The sequence below is a fragment of the Homo sapiens genome, chromosome 6 (genome assembly GCF_000001405.40).
Source record: "Homo sapiens chromosome 6, GRCh38.p14 Primary Assembly".
NCBI classification, from domain to species: Eukaryota; Metazoa; Chordata; class Mammalia; order Primates; family Hominidae; genus Homo; species Homo sapiens.
This window is the reverse complement of record NC_000006.12, coordinates 87,580,087-87,595,706: the sequence shown is the minus strand read 5'-3', so window position 1 is coordinate 87,595,706 and position 15,620 is coordinate 87,580,087. Positions and strand designations below refer to the sequence as shown.

At 40.7% G+C, this 15,620-nt stretch overlaps 2 protein-coding genes across 52 annotated transcripts in view, besides 4 other annotated features; one reads left to right on the top strand and one right to left on the bottom strand.

The window, feature by feature from the left end:
* Positions 1–5,572, bottom strand: part of ORC3 (origin recognition complex subunit 3) — an 87,689-nt gene extending 82,117 nt beyond the window's left edge. For 13 of the 15 annotated variants that reach the window (XM_017010632.3, XM_017010633.3, XM_047418550.1 and 10 more), the window contains exons 1-2: positions 5,515–5,572; positions 1,300–1,354 (exon numbers count right to left, since the gene is read on the bottom strand). In XM_017010632.3, the coding sequence (XP_016866121.1) occupies positions 1,300–1,354; positions 5,515–5,538 (79 nt within the window). In that variant the 5' untranslated portion in view covers positions 5,539–5,572. Of the gene's footprint in view, positions 1–1,093; positions 1,181–1,299; positions 1,357–5,514 lie in introns of those variants that run through there. The other 2 variants (XM_047418548.1, XM_047418549.1) reach the window with 2 other exon arrangements.
* Positions 3,254–3,754: an enhancer, noted in NCBI's record as "H3K4me1 hESC enhancer chr6:88301671-88302171 (GRCh37/hg19 assembly coordinates)". NCBI's record gives its function as "activates a minimal SCP1, AML or CMV promoter by ChIP-STARR-seq in naive H9 embryonic stem cells {active_cell/tissue: H9 hESC(naive)}" and the evidence as "EXISTENCE:reporter gene assay evidence [ECO:0000049][PMID:30033119]".
* Positions 3,755–4,255: an enhancer, noted in NCBI's record as "H3K4me1 hESC enhancer chr6:88301170-88301670 (GRCh37/hg19 assembly coordinates)". NCBI's record gives its function as "activates a minimal SCP1, AML or CMV promoter by ChIP-STARR-seq in naive H9 embryonic stem cells {active_cell/tissue: H9 hESC(naive)}" and the evidence as "EXISTENCE:reporter gene assay evidence [ECO:0000049][PMID:30033119]".
* Positions 5,629–6,590: an enhancer, noted in NCBI's record as "H3K27ac hESC enhancer chr6:88298835-88299796 (GRCh37/hg19 assembly coordinates)". NCBI's record gives its function as "activates a minimal SCP1, AML or CMV promoter by ChIP-STARR-seq in primed H9 embryonic stem cells {active_cell/tissue: H9 hESC(primed)}" and the evidence as "EXISTENCE:reporter gene assay evidence [ECO:0000049][PMID:30033119]".
* Positions 5,636–5,865: an enhancer, noted in NCBI's record as "active region_24798". NCBI's record gives its function as "activates an Ori minimal core promoter by ATAC-STARR-seq in GM12878 lymphoblastoid cells {active_cell/tissue: GM12878}" and the evidence as "EXISTENCE:reporter gene assay evidence [ECO:0000049][PMID:35858748]".
* RARS2 (arginyl-tRNA synthetase 2, mitochondrial) overlaps positions 5,720–15,620 on the top strand; it is a 76,050-nt gene continuing 66,149 nt past the window's right edge. For 25 of the 37 annotated variants that reach the window (NR_146741.2, NR_146757.2, NR_146758.2 and 22 more), the window contains exon 1: positions 5,720–6,006. Coding sequence is in view for 4 of the 37 variants with exons in the window: in NM_001350505.2 (NP_001337434.1) it covers positions 5,750–5,785 (36 nt within the window). In the remaining 33 variants the exon portion in view is untranslated. Of the gene's footprint in view, positions 6,007–10,443; positions 10,662–12,120; positions 12,244–15,620 lie in introns of those variants that run through there. The other 12 variants (NR_146747.2, NR_134857.2, NR_146756.2 and 9 more) reach the window with 5 other exon arrangements.

The following is a 15,620-nucleotide window of genomic DNA, read 5'->3' as shown; positions in this document are numbered from 1 at the left end:
TAAAACTCAATAATTTAACAAATTTGTTTTATGAAATGAAGAGTGATTGAGAACTGTGTGGGACCCTGGTGCTTCCGAGAGATGATGGAGGGTGCAAACTGGTAGAAAGGATGTGAAGACTAAGAGAGGAAATCTGGGCCACTTGGAAATATGTAGCCATTGTGAGAGTAGAAAGTCTTCTGCTACTCATTCTCAGCTTTTTCCCTTCCCTCAGGCTAGTGAGAGATAGGAGTCTTGGAACACAAACTATAAGGCCAAGGTGGTAACAATCCATAATAACACAAATTTATTCACATGGTATTTATGATAGTCTTACAAAGCACTACATGTTAGCTCTTAGAGAGATAGAATGAGAATAGGGAGAAATCTTAGTGATAAGTGAGTATAGTTGCTCATTTTACAGATGAAGAGACTTAGGGAAAGGTTAAACAGCAGGGCCAAAGCCATAGAGCTGGTCAGGCTCAGGATCACACTCCAATTCCTTTACTTATAGTCCAGGTGATTCCATAACTTTGTGCTCTAGCAGGTAGAATTACTGTAAGAGATCCAAGACCTTGGGCTTTTTTCTCAGCATGTATTGATGTGCACAGCATTTATCCCTAAGTTAGAACATGCAGTATTCTAACACACATGTAGTTACTAAGCCCTAAGTTCTAAAATGCTCCATACAGATAGATGATTGCTTTAATTTATTTTGCCAAGTTTATTCATAAAATGGAATATCACATCAAAATTTTTAAGCATATTTAAGTCTCCCCATGAATATTGTATTTTAACTCAAAAATAATTTTTATACAATTTTCATTAGAAAATATATACAAATTTATAATCATTCTTTCTTAGGTTTTCCTTATGTTACCAATTATCATTTTATTTTCTAAATAACATTTCCCCCATCATTAGAAATCTGGGTTGCCAGTCAGCCTTTATTGTTTTGATTACTTCATCAAGGATCAAAATGTTTCTCTAGCAGAAACTCACTTTCATTTCTAAAGTTGTAGATAAAAAAACAATGGCAGAGAAGTAATCAAAAAGACAATCTCTTTTAAAGAATAGCAGCATATCCTTTGAAGGAAATTTGCTTCCAACTTACCTTTGGAAGGTGTAATTGGATTCTCTTTTCAATTAGAGCCCTGGGGTGTCCTCTTATCTCTTTGACCAATGCCTTGGAACATAAATGCTACATCAACATGGCAAGTAAGCCAAGGTTAGACAAGAGAATTACTAAATTCAATTAGGGTTAGTTCCTAATAGTTTAAGAAGGTAGGGAATAAAAAATTTAATATTCAGACACCTTACCTATTGGCAGAGAGATCTTTCTCTTTTTGGAGTTTGGCTTAAAAACAAAGCAACCCTATAAAAAGAAAGACGAAAAGCATAAAGTCAAAGTAGCCAAGGAGCAGAGAAATCTGATTAACCAAATATTTTATGGGTAAGCACTTTTTTAAAAAAAGATGTTAGGGGAGAGAACACATTTCTTTCAGGTTCTAAGAAATCACATCACTTCTCTCTGACCTATAGAAGGAAAATTCTAAAACAACAAGGGGGACTATCTACTCTCTCCCCTCCCTCCCATGAGATGCCCATTTTTGATTTTGCTCTTTGACACCTGATCTAAGAGGTAGACAAAGAAAATAAAAGCTGATTAAATTTAAGCCCAGAAAGGTTCCATTTTCATAAACTTAAAGGAATTAATACTACACATTAAAATGGGCTGGGCACAGTGGCTCATGCCTGTAATCCCAGCACTCTGGGAGGCCAAGGCGGGTGGATCACAAGGTCAGGAGTTTGAGACCAGCCTGGCCAACATGGTGAAATCCTGTCTCTACTAAAAATGCAAAAATTAGCCAGGCGTGTTGGTGTGAGCCTGTAATCCCAGCTACTCGGGAGGCTCAGACAGAAGAATCACTTGAACCCTGGAGATGGAGGCTGCAGTGGGCTGAGATCGTGCCATTGCACTCCAGCCTGGGCAACAAAGAGCGAAGCTCTGTCTCAAAAAATAAATAAATAAAAATGAAGATTAAAAAGGTTGAAAATAGTGATGTTCTCCCAACCCGAAACTTATTTAAACTCGAAGTATCTATAACCTTAGTAGTAAATAGATAATTGCAGCTGTTTCACTCTACATACTTCTCTTCATCTGATAAATGCCTACTCATTTATCCATTAAAGTTTGACTCAACACTCATCTCCTTCAGGAAACCTTTCACAATTCTCTAGCCAGAAATTCTCCTTTCCTCGAGATCTCTCAGTACTTGAACATCTTTATTTTGCATTGTTTTAAGTCACTTTAATTGTATATCGTAGTTGTTTATGGGTGTGTCTCCCTGAGTAGACTGTGAGTGCCTTCAAGCACAAACTGTATTTTATTTATAATTGTTTCTCCAATGTTTGGAATAGTGCTAACATACATATTAGGCAATCAGAATATGGAATGAATAAATGCTTGCCAAATAACTGTCCTGGTAATTTCCCAGCTATGTTTAGTTTCATATTATTGTTTGACCAGTGGTAGATCACCCCCAAGTTAGTGGTCCTAGTCTATTCTACCAATTCTAAAGTCATACATGATGGATAGCTTATAGTTTTTTTTTGTTTGTTTGTTTGTTTTTTTGAGACAGAGTCTCGCTCTGTCGTCCAGGCTGGAGTGCAATGGTGCGATCCTGGCTCACTGCAACCTTTGCCTCCCGGGTTCAAGCCATTCTCCTGCCTCAGCCTCCTGAGTAGCTGGGATGACAGGTGCCCACCACCATGCCTGGCTAATTTATTGTATTTTTAGTAGAGACGGGGTTTCACTATGTTGGCCAGGCTGGTCTCGCACTCCTGATCTCGTGATCCATCCGCCTCGGCCTCCCAAAGTGCTGGGATTAGAGGCATGAGCCACTGCACCCGGCCTGATGGATAACTTCTTAAATATTTCGATTTCTATGGAAAATAAAAGACAGAATGAAAGAACGATACCTAGGAAAAGTTGTCTCAGGATAGTGTTAAAGACCGCTGTGCAACTATAAAGTAGCCATTTGGATTACATGTTCCCATTTAAGAACTGTGCCTTAGATTCTTTTTTCTGCTATTGTTGAGACAGAGTCTCCCTCTGTTGCCCAGGCTAGAGTGCAATGGCACAATCTTGGCTCACTGTAACCTCTACCTCCCGGGTTCAGGCGATTCTCCTGCCTCAGCCTCCTGAGAGGCTGGGATTACAGGCGCCCACCAACATGCCAGGCTAATTTTGTATTTTAGTACAGATGTGGTTTCACCATGTTGGTCAGGTTGGTCTCGAACTCCTGACCTCAGATGATCCACCCACCTCGGCCTCCCAAAGTGTTGGGATTACAGGCATGAGCCACTGCACACAGCCCTGTGCCTTATATTCTTATATCTGCAACTAGCAGAAGTGTGCGAAATCACATACATATTTAGAAAAATCATGTGATACCATGACAAACCTGTCATTACCTCCTTTCCAAATCCACCTGCAATTCAGTAAAGGAAAAAGGAGCTTCAAAGGAGCAAGACATGAGGAGTGATCAGAAAGGATCTTAATATAGGGCAGTGGTAGTAACATGGTTAACCATTTGGAACTGCTGGTCAAGTGATGGTGTTTGAGATAGAGGAAGGCCAACAGCCAGAAAATTTCACGATGAAAGAGACACTAAAATGTTTTGATATGTTTAAGGACCGGGCGTGGTGGCTCACGCCTGTAATCCTAGCACTTTGGGAGGCCGAGGCTGGCGGATCACTCGAGGTCAGGAGTTCGAGACCCGCCTGGCCAACATGGTGAAACCCTGTCTCTTCTAAAAATACAAAATTAGCTGGGTGTAGTGGGGCATGTCTGTAATCCCAACTGCCCGGGAGGCTGAGGTGGGAGAATAGCTTGAATCGGGGAGGTGGAGGTTGCAGTGAGCCGAGATCGCGCCACTGCACTCCAGCCTGGTAACAGAGCAAGACTCTGTCTCAAGAAAAAAAAGAAAAGAAAAAGAAAAAAAGCTTGCAGTTCCATAAATTCATGAAATAGTTCTTAAAGCTTCTTATTCATGTAAGGTCTCATCCCAATACAGACATTTGTTATAATACCAAAAATGCTTTCCTGAAAAATCTTACTTTCTGCAAGATACATAAAAATAAGAGGTGCTTATGCAATCAACAGGATTAAGGGATAGACCATTCAAAACCTACAGAACATTATAACCAGGACAAAATAAAACCAGTACCATTTCTAATAAAAATACTACCTTTGAATCTCTACTAGCATAACCTTAAACCCCAGGGCTTGTCCTTTTTCCTTGAGATGTAGTCTTTAAAAGCACTGCTTCTCATAAACCGTTTTAATCAAAATAAAAAATCAGATCCATGACATAGCCTTCTTCATCAATCCATTGTTTTAACATAGGGAGAATGTAGCTTCTTCATGTGCATTTTTCAGCTTTCTCAGACAGCTTAACTTCAGGGGCTTCCCGCTGCACTTACAATAGAACTCAAGGTCTTACTTTTTGTGGTCCAGAACAGCGCTGTCCAACAGAACTTTCTGTAATGATAGAAATGTCCTATATCTGCACTATCTAAAATGGTAGCTGCAGCCACATGTGATGATTGAGCACTTGAAATGTGGTTAGTGCAACGGAGAAACTGAATTTTTATTTAATCTTACTTTATTTTAACTCAAATTTAAATAGCCACATGTGGTGAGTGACTAACACATTGGACAATACAGCTCTAGGGCTTATCTTCTTACCAACTACACTATGTCTTGCAATTTCTTGCCATCTAGGTAGCCAACATGAGGAGGTCTATAAGATATCCCACCACACACACCCGCATCCACATTACTTTTTCATTCTCATTTTTCATGACGCTCCCACTCTTTGTCTACTTTCTGATTATGATTTTTAAATTCCTCTAATATGCCATTTTATTTCTATCTTCTGGGCCGAAGAAACATGCTGTTCTCTCTGCCCTCCTCGCCCTAATCCTTAACCTAACTTCTACTCATTTTTCAGGTCTCAGCGAAAGGGTCACTTTCTCCAAAAAGCCTCCGCTAACCCCCGACAACCTATATTAGGTTCTTCCCACTCTTCTGTTGTCTGCCTAGAACTCTTTTCCTTGCTAACACTTAAAATTTGTGATCGTCAGTTTATCTATGTTTACCGACTTTCTTGACTGCAGAAACTGAATCTGTTTTGTTTACCACTGCATCTTGGTACCTAACGGAGTGCTTGGCGCACAGTATTTGTGAGATGGAAAAATGAGAGACTGGGCCACATCATCAGGACATCCGACCTCCACCAACCAGAACTTAAAAATCCTCCTAGCCATACCACAAGGCAGATCCGCGTCCTCGCTCCCCAAGCAAAGTTGGCCTCAACTGATCTGGAGCAAGGACGCCTCAGCTCAGTACGCCGCTCCCTCCCTCCTCTCCAGCCAGGGAAGGGATGCCTACGTAACCTCGGCTTCATCCCTTCTTCAAAGGGGAATGAGGCAGCGGTAGAGCCACAGTGCGCATCGGCCACCACATACCTTAGACATCGAGGACGTAGCCATGGTCTTACTGACTCTGCGTATTCCAGATGCACTCGGGATTTCCCGCGCGCCCTCGCGGCTGCAGGGCAGAGGTTAGTGGCGAGCCACACGGCTCCTTGATTGGCTGGCATCACCCTCCGGGGCGGGTTTCCGGCGCGGGGAGGCGGGTCGTATAAGGAGGTGGGGCGAGGCCGGAACTGGCGGACTGCGGCGCACTTCCGTAGAGGTGGACATGGCGTGCGGCTTTCGCCGCGCTATTGCTTGCCAGGTATGGATCCCGGAGCGCGCAGAGGAGTCCCTGAGGAGCTAGGGACCCCAAAGGCCTTTCACCGCTGCGGGCCAGTCCTCAGTCAGCTGGAGGGTGGGTCCCACGGAATCCTGTTAGTTTCTACCACCTCCTCCCCCTTCTCTGGAGCTGGTGGAGCTTCAGAAGTCCTGTGGAGCGTCGGCTGGGATCAGTTTGTCTCGGTGAAAAGTAAACTTTGAAAGGTACCTGGTGCTTTCTTCTCTCCTTCCCACCCCACAGCTATGAATGCTTTACCTGGGTGGCGGCAAGTCATTAGACCATGATTAGACCCCATAGAAGTTAGTGTTCTTTACACTTTAGTGACATTGATGATGGATCTGGATTGTTCTTCAGAAGGACCTCATTTTAAAGCTGCTTATTTCTCTTGCAGTCACTTAGGCAGCCTACCCTAGAATTGTTTTTGGTAACGCCCAAAGATATAAGAGCTATCTGAGACTCAGTTTTTCTTGGTTCAGGGTCGTATTTGAACAGCTCTGTTGTGAGGAAGGGCTTACAAAATTGCAATATAATTGCTTTGTTTTGTTTTTCCTTTTTGTGGAGAACGGGGTCTCGCCGTATTGCCCAGGCAGGCCTCAAACTCCTGGGCTCAAGCTGTCCTCCCTCCTCTGCTTCCCTAAGAGCCGGGATTACAGGCCTGAGCCACCGCGCTGGGCAAAATTGCAGTATAAATGTGGAATTAATCAAAAAGAATTTTTAAGACTCATTGGCCACCCTTGCAAGGAAACTTTCTATTGTGGTCTTGGCTAACCCATTTCCTTCTGATTAATGGATGTACTAGTGGACGTAATTAGCCTGGTGTATAATTTATCTTGGCTCATTTTTACAGTATTTCTAGACATTTGTGGGGAAATCCCTCTGCCTTGTCTTTATGTTTATAGATGTACTGCCCTGTCCGGTGATAATTCGCCAAATATCACCAACATGACATTTTGTTAAGACAGCTGAATTTATTGCTCACTGGGATAAGGAAGAACACCACTGAGAGCTTTGGTAGTGTATTAAACTGGGAAAGCAAGGTCAGATTTTACTGATGGGTATGGCTTAAGGCTGGTCTTTCAGAGGGAGAGGGTAGGAGGGTGTTGGAGGAAGATGGCTTGATTAGGGTTGGACTCTGATCTGATACAGCGGTTTAAGATTGATAGGAAAAGCAAAGAGTGCAAGAAGCCTTAAGGCATAAACTATTGAGGTTTTCTATTGGAAGAACTAATAGGCCTGGCATGTGGTTCATGCCTATAATCCCAGCACTTTGGGAGGCCAAGGTGGGAGGATGGCTTGAGCCCAGGAGTTCGAGACCAGCGTGGACAACATAGGTAGACCCCGTCTCAACAAAATTTTTTTTAAAAAGTAGCCAGGCATGATGGTGCACCTCTGTAGTCCTAGCTGCTTGAAAGGCTGAGTCTGGAGGATCACTTGGACGGACCCACGAGTTTGAAGCTACAGTGAGCTATGATTGTGCCACTGCACTCCAGGGTGGGTGACAGAGCGAGACCCTGTAAACAAAAAATAAAAATAAAAAACGTGAAAAGCTAATAGATTTCTCATGAAGTTCTTATAATGAATGATTAAGTTATTTGGGCAGAAGTCTTCTAGAACAGTAAAGTTATGCTAATGAAGACAAAAAATAATAAATTCATGTTAATGTAGACAGTAAACCATATCAGGGAAGGTAGTTTTGGACCTTAGTATCTAAGCTGTGTGTAAGGGTGGACGTTTTCCATTCTTAGCCCTTAAGTAAAGATAGTGCCATGATGAGAAACAAATTGTGTTTAGTTTTGCAAAGGCTGTGTTCTTTGTAAAGACTGTAAATTGGACCAGGCATGGTGGCTCACACTTGTAATCCCAGAACTTTGAGAGGCCGAGGTGGGAGGATCCCTTGAACTGAGACGTTCAAGACCAGCCTGGGCAACATAGGGAGACCCCCATCTCTATAAAGAAATAAAAAACAAAACTTAGGTGTAGTGGCACACACCTGTGGTCCCAGCTGCTTGGGAAGCTGAGGTGGGAGGATCGTTTGGGCCCAGGTGGCTGAAACTAGCAAGCTTTGATTGCACCGCTGCACTTCAGCCTGGGGGACAAAGTGAGTCCCTGTCTCAAAAAAAAGAAAAAGATAAGTTGGAGAAACAAGAACTAATATATTGAGTATATATTTGTGCTAGTTACTACACATTCACATTTAAGCTCATGGCAACCCTGTGATATAGAAGTATTAACCTTATTATATAATTGAGTCAGTTGAGATCCACAGAGATTAAATAACTTACCCAAAGCCACATCATCAATACATTGTAGAGTTGGTTTATGAACAGAACTCTAACTTTAAAATTAGATCTTTCCTATATACTGTGCTCTTTGTGAAAGCAAGAAGCACAGTCCAATCATTGAACAGAATCTAATGGATTTATACAGCAGTGTAAATTATGCAGATATATATGTATTTCTCTGAATATAGAGTCATTGGGGAATGATCTGAAACTTGAGGATAAATAATAATATTTTCAATACGTTAGGACATGGGGAAAAAAGAGCAAAGAAAAAACATGTTCCGTACAGTTTGAGCATCCCTAAGCTGGAAATCTGAAATGCTCCAAAATTTGAAACTTTTTGAGTGCTGACATGAGACTCAATGTTCATTGAGTTCATTGGAGCTCAATTGGAAATTGGAAATGTTCATTGGAGAATTCCAGATTTTCAGATTAGGAGCTGGGTATGGTGGCTCATGCCTATAACCCCAGCACTTGGAGAGACTGAGACAGGCAGATCACTTGAGCCCAAGAGTTCAAGACCAGCCTGGGAAACTAATTAGAAAATTAGTTGGGCATGGTGGCACCCTCCTGTAATCCCAGATACTTGGGAGGCTGAGGTGGAAGGATCACTTGAACCTGAGAGGTGGAGGTTGCAATGAGCCAAGATTGTGCCACTGAACTCCAGCGTGGGTGGTAAAGCAAGACCCTGTCTCAAAAAATAAATAAATAAATAAATAAATAAATAAATAAATAAATAACCAACCCCACAGATTTTCAGTTTAGGGATGCTCAACAGGTAAGTATAAAGCCAATATTCCAAAATCTGAAAAAATTCAAAAGTTGAAACACTTGTGGTCCCAAGGATACCCAGCCTGTATTTAATACCTTTGCGAATGAGCATCGTTTTGCTATAATAGTTTAGGAATGAAGGAATGTGTAACGTGCAATGGCAAATGCATTTAGCTAACTTTGATTAATTAGTCGACAGTTTTCTAAGCACTGTCATCAGTCCCAAGGCTAAAAGTGAACGGAAAATAGTTTCTGCCCTGAAATGGCCTCAGACATGCTTGGAAAACGATGTAAACCGGTAATTGCATTGCAGCCTGTAATCACTGTATTAGAAGCATGTGCAAAGTGCCAAGGGAACTTGAAAGCTCCTAAGGGTCAGACAAAGTTTTGTAGAAAGGTGATGTTAGGTCTCAGTTTTGAAAGGGATATGGGTAGGAGTGTGCCAAGTAAATAGAGTGAGAGCTTGGGGAGAGGTCAGGTATTGCAAGAGGAGGATGTGCATAGACACAGACATCTGGAAAGCATGATATGTACATAGAATCACAATATTTGGATTCCTTTCTTCAGCAAGTCCTGTTGATTTTATCTTTATATCTTGAATCCATCTACACTATTGCTGCTGCCTCCCCCTCTCCTTTCTCTATTCCACACCAAGCCCCCATTATCACCTATATTGACTGCTTACAACAGCCTTCTGATGGGGTGTTTGTTTCCATTCTTGCCCTCCCTCCAGTTCATTCTCCATGTATCAAGAAAGGTGACATCTAAATTGTGAATCAAATCATATCACTTATCTTTCTTTGTTGCACGAGTCTCTACCAGAACCTTAACTTCTTCAACTTCCATTCATGCCCCATTCTATCATTTTTGTAGGAACCTAGCTACAATGTTAATTTGTTTTTCTAACATAGCAGGGTCTTTCCATTCCCATTGCGTAGATTATTCCTTGTGCCTAAAAGAAATGCATTTTATACTATCACTCTTTATGCACGATGAAAGTTTCATGAAACAATACTTATTTATACTGTATTCTGTCCTGTTTTATACGTATTTTTTAAGACTGGTGGTTGGGACTCAACAGAATTTATTTTTATTTTTATTTATTTATTTATTTATTTTGAGATGGAGTCTTGCTCAGTCGTCCGGGCTAGAGTGCAATGGCGTGATCTCTGCTCACTGCAAGCTCCGCCTCCTGGGTTCACGCCATTCTCCCACCTCAGCCTCCCGAGTAGCTGGGACTACAGGTGCCCGCCACCACACCCGGCTAAATTTTTTTGTATTTTTAGTAGAGACGGGGTTTCACCGTGTTAGCCAGGATGGTCTCGATCTCCTGACCTCATGATCCACCCATCTCAGCCTCCCAAAGTGCCGGGATTACAGGCGTGAGCCACCGCGCCAGGCAAAGGAATTTATTTCTAACTGGCAACCTATAATTTGAAAAGTGTGTCCTCTAGTTCTCTTAGTCCCTTGTTTGCTTCTATGATGACAATAATAAGAGTAATTGTTTTGTTTTACTTGTTTTAGTGTCTGTTTCCTCTATAAGCTTCATGAAGACAGAACATGTCTTATTCACTCTTATTTCCTCAGCACCAGCAAAGTGCCCGAAACATAAGTGTTTAATGTGTATTTGAAGAATGAATACCTGAGTATCTCTGTTGTGATCTCATATAAAATATGCAGCTTCACTGAATGAGTTCATAATTTTAAATCTATGGAGATGACGTGGTGTGGTGGCTAAAGGAACTCCATCTTGGATGCTAATCTGCCATGTTGACTTTTGATTATCCCCAGTTCCAGGAATACCTGTAAGATTTCTATTTTATCTACTGTTTATAGTACTTAAGGGCAGGATTTCTATTTTATTTACTGTTTATAGTACTTAAGGACAGGATTTATAATTCTTGCCCTTAAGCAAATGATAGGCTATGACATAGCATTCTTGATTTTTTCTAAGGGGTTGACTTCGGTTGTCTTAGACATCCCTTCTGAAGCATGGTTACCCCTTCTCTATGGTATATACCATAGAGAAGCCCTGGGTCTTGGGGTAGATAACTGCACAAGGATTCATCATCTTGTCTCTTAGCTTCCTGAGATATGACTTCTGTTCATAAATCCATATTAAATGTTTCTTTCTGAGAAGCTGGGTTTGTCAGCTGCTTTCTTCAGTCTCTCAGCATCCTCAGTCTTTTGAGGGTAGATTTGTATAGACCTGCTTACCATGGAGCACTTAATAATGGTGGGAAGGATTAGAATTCTAGCTTCACTATTTGTGTAACTAACTCTTGGCAAGTCAGCTGTAAGATGATGGTTTTGATTCCAAGTTTACAGGATTGCTGCAAGGATTAATAATGATGTTGAAGATTATAATAACTACTATTTATGGGATACCTCACTTGTACGGTGCCGTATTTTGCTTTGCTTTATAGGGCTATTAATAAAATGTAATGAGATAAAGATAACAGTGCTTAATGTCAGGAGTTGCAAAGGGTCTGTGATTTTACCCTCTTAAGTTTCTACCACTGTTCCATGGATGGTAGCAGAAAACATCAGACCCCTGAATGAGGGAAAAGGATTTTACTATTCATAGCAATAGCAGTAGCCACAGTATCAACATATTTTGTGTGTCAATTTCCCAAGTTCTTTTTCTTCCCATGCCGCAATGTGAAGATAATACCTCTATATAAGCTGTGTACTGTGTTACAGGAGAGAAACCTTGAGTCTTTTATAATGGGCAGTAAGCATGCCTGCCCTTTGCTCTGGAGTGAGGAACCATCTTTATCTTACAAATCTGTATCCTTGAAAGATAGTCCAGAACAAAGGCAATTTGTGTCTTGTTTACATACGCAGAAATGTTGGAGTCCCACGAGGATTTGTCGCTCAACACTAAGCACAGTGGTATATTGTGCTTAGTGGTACACATACAATGTACAGTACTTGAAATTTTCATTTCATCATCTCAGTCATGCCATTGCTATTTGTATTGTATCCTTATTTTACAGAAAAGGACACTGAGATTCAGGAACATGAAAGGAATAACCTAAGGTCACTCAGCTATAAAATTCTAGAGTTGAACTACTAACCTAGCTATTTGCCTCAAAGCCAGAATTCTTTGTATTCTATATGTAGAGTTAAATTTGTAAAATGGCCAGTACGTGTCTGGCTCCGAAATAATGATGGAATGTAGATTTGTCTCCCTTTCTTACTTGCTTTTCATTTTGCTCATTAAACTTAAATTCAGCTGGTTCTGTTTTTTTTTTTTTTGAGACGCAGTTTTGTTCTTGTTGCCCAGGCTGGAGTGCAATGGCACAATCTCGGCTCACCGCAACCTCCACCTCCCAGGTTCAAGCGATTCTCCTGCCTCAGCCTCCCAGGTAGCTGGGATTACAGGTATATGCCACCACACCCAGCTAATTTTGTATTTTTAGTAGAGATGGGGTTTCTCCATTTTGGTCAGTCTGGTCTCAAACTCCCGACCTCAGGTGATCTGCATGCTTCGGCCTCGCAAAGTGCTGGGATTACAGGCAAGAGCCACCATTCCTGGCTCAGCTAGTTCATTTTAATTTTGTATACTTTTAATTTTGAAATAATTTCAGACTTATAAAAAGTTGTGATAATAGTACCAACAACTCCATATCCTCTTTATCTAGATTCAGCAGTTATTAACATTTTGCCACATTTCCTTCATCGTTCTGTATAACTTTTTCCTGTGTCATTTGAGAGTAGGTTTCATACATAATGCTCCTTTACCTCTTAATATGTAATTGTTTATTTCCTAAGAACAAGGCTTGTTTTACATGACCATAGTACAGTTATCAGATTCATATAATATTGATAAAATGCTTTAACTTACAGTCCATATTCCAGTCTTGTTGATTTTTTTCCCCATATAGGATCACAAATTGCATTTAGTTTCTTGTAACTGGTACATTTTAAGTAGCTTTACGCTCTCGTTATTAACTTACATCTGCATAGCTTGATAGAGGAGCTACCCTGCTAATGGTGAGCAGGAAGACCGGCTTTCTTGACTCTGCTGATGAGTTTATTATCAAATTTCAGGTGTGGCCTCAAGAAGCAATTAAACTAGTTGTCTAATTGTTGTCATTTAGTCCTGAGGTGCAATATGTATGTTGGGCAGATATTCATCCACATTAAGGTAAACAGCAGGACTGACTGAATTATCTACGTTTGTACTGTTCTTTGCTTCCAATCTATTCTCACAGACCCACCAGCATTCCATTCTGCTTAGAAGCACAAGTTGTATAATAATAACCATACTATAGCAAAAAACAAACAAAAAAACTATCATCAGAGCAAACAGGCAACCTACAGAGTAGCATAGAATTTTCACAATCTATCTGACAAAGGTCTAATATCCAGAACCTACAAGGAACTTAAAACAACCCCATTAAAAAGTGGGCAAAGGACATGAACAGACACTTCTCAGAAGAAGACATTTATGTGGCCACAAACATTCGAAAAAAAGCTCAACATCACTGATCGTTAGAGAACTGTAAATCAAAACCACAATGAGATACCATCTCATGCCAGTCAGAATGGTGATCATTAAAAAATCAAGAAACAACAGATGCTGGTGAGATTGTGGAGAAATAGGAACACTTTTACACTGTTGGTGGAAATGTAAATTAGTTCAGCCATTGTGGAAGACAGTGTCATGGTTCCTCAAAGATCTAGTACCAGAAATATCATCTGGCCCAGCAATCCCATTGCAGGGTATATACCCAAAGGAATATAAATCATTCTGCTACAAAGATACATGCATGTGGATGTTCACTGCAGCACTATTCACAATAGCAAAGACATGGAATCAACCCAAATGCCCATCAATGATAGACTGGATAAAGAAAATGTGGTTGGTACATATACACCATGGAATACTGTGCAACCGTAAAAAGGAACGAGATCATGTCCTTTGCAGGGACATGAATGGAGCCAGAAACCATTATTCTCAGCAAACTAATGCAGGAACAAAAAACCAAACACTGCACATTGTCCCTTGTAAGTGTGAGCTGAACAATGAGAACACATGGCCATGGGGAGGGGAAGAACACACACCAGCGTTTGTTGGGGGTGGGGTGGGAAGAGTGAGAGCTTTAGGAAAAATAGCTAATGCTTGTGGTGCTTAATACCTAGGTGATGGGTTGATAGGTGCAGCAAACCACCATGGCACACATTTGTCTATGTAACCTGCACATCCTGCACATGTACCCCGGAACTTAATTTTTAAAAAGAACCATGCTAAATTTATTATAGTCATAATTTGCCTTCCAAATTGTTTGGGATATTCTCTTCTAAGCCCCAAAGTTTTAATTCTTACTTTGTTTGCTTCTTGTTTGTGTCTTGAAACTAATGCAGACCTGTTCCTGAGGAAAATTTCTGCAAATTTGGGAGGGCTTCTGCACTGGTCTTGGTGGCAAACCTACAGTGCCTGACTTGGTAGTGTTGGAGAATCAGAAGTGAGGAACAACTGGGGTAATTGCCTTTTTAGACTCATGGCCTATAGATTATGTTAATGTGGATAAAAATACAGAGCTAATCTTCATAAGATGATGTCAGTTTTGCCACCTGAATGTCTGGTTGCTAAAGATATGGATCCCTTTTTCATTAGCAAAATTAGGTTTTTATGCAATTTTCACAGATTTTGATCCTGAACCTGGCAAGTTTAGCTCCTAGCTGAATTTAGTACCTATCTAGAGCCAGACTGAGAATATTTTTTGACTTTGTGCTCAGTTATCTGAGTACTAGCGGTAAGAATCATATTTGCCATTGTATCAGAAAAATAAATGGTTGAGGACTGCTGACAAGCTAATTGATTGATGTGCTTTCCTAGTGAATGCTCTGGAGCCAAAGATTCTATTATATTAGAATCTCTGATACTAGGTTCCTAAATCTAAAGTTTAGAATTGTGCTTGGTACATTGTAAGCACTCACTACATATTAGCCATTCTTATATTACATATTAGAATCTCTGATCTTAGGTTCTCAAACGAGATCTGGCAGTTGTGAATTTTCACTTGATATTCCCTTAAGTGCTTCCTCTTAAAAATAAGTAAGCAAATAAATAAATAAATAAAAGGCCAGGTGCAGTGGCCAATGTCTGTAATTTCAGCGCTTTGGGAGGCTGAGGTGGGAGGATTGCTTGAGTCCAGTTCAAGACCACCCTGGGCAATATACTGAGATATAGTGAGACTTCATCTCTACAAAAATCTGAAAAATAAAAAAAAGTCCTTTTTTTTTTTTTGAGACAGGGTTTCACTCTCAAATTCCTGACCTCAGGTAATCCACCCGCCTCAACCTCCCAAAGTGCTGGAATTACAGGCATGAGCAACTGCACCTGGCAAGAAGTGCTTCTTGCTTTCAACCTCAGATTTGCTCCTCATTCAATGTGTTGTTTAGTTTACTTCTCAAGGACTGTGCCTAATTTTGTGGATGTTATTTCTCTGTTAAAATTTTCAGGTTTACTGTCAGTCTTTTATTATTTGGTTCGCATTGTGTAACCTTTTTAGGATATTTTATTCTGTGAAACTTTTATTACTTTGAGGCCTAAAGAAGATAGTTATCAGTAGACCTTCTTTTCGCTTGTGCTAGTCCTAGATGAAGCCCAATGCCAGGTGAAACAGCCCTACCCGAAGGGAGCAAAAGAAAATAAACCCTGAAGCTAAGCAAACCCATTGGTCACATTCTGATCCAAGAAAGCTCCAAATCCAATCTCAGAGACAGTTGAAGAAAGTCGTATTACTCCCAGA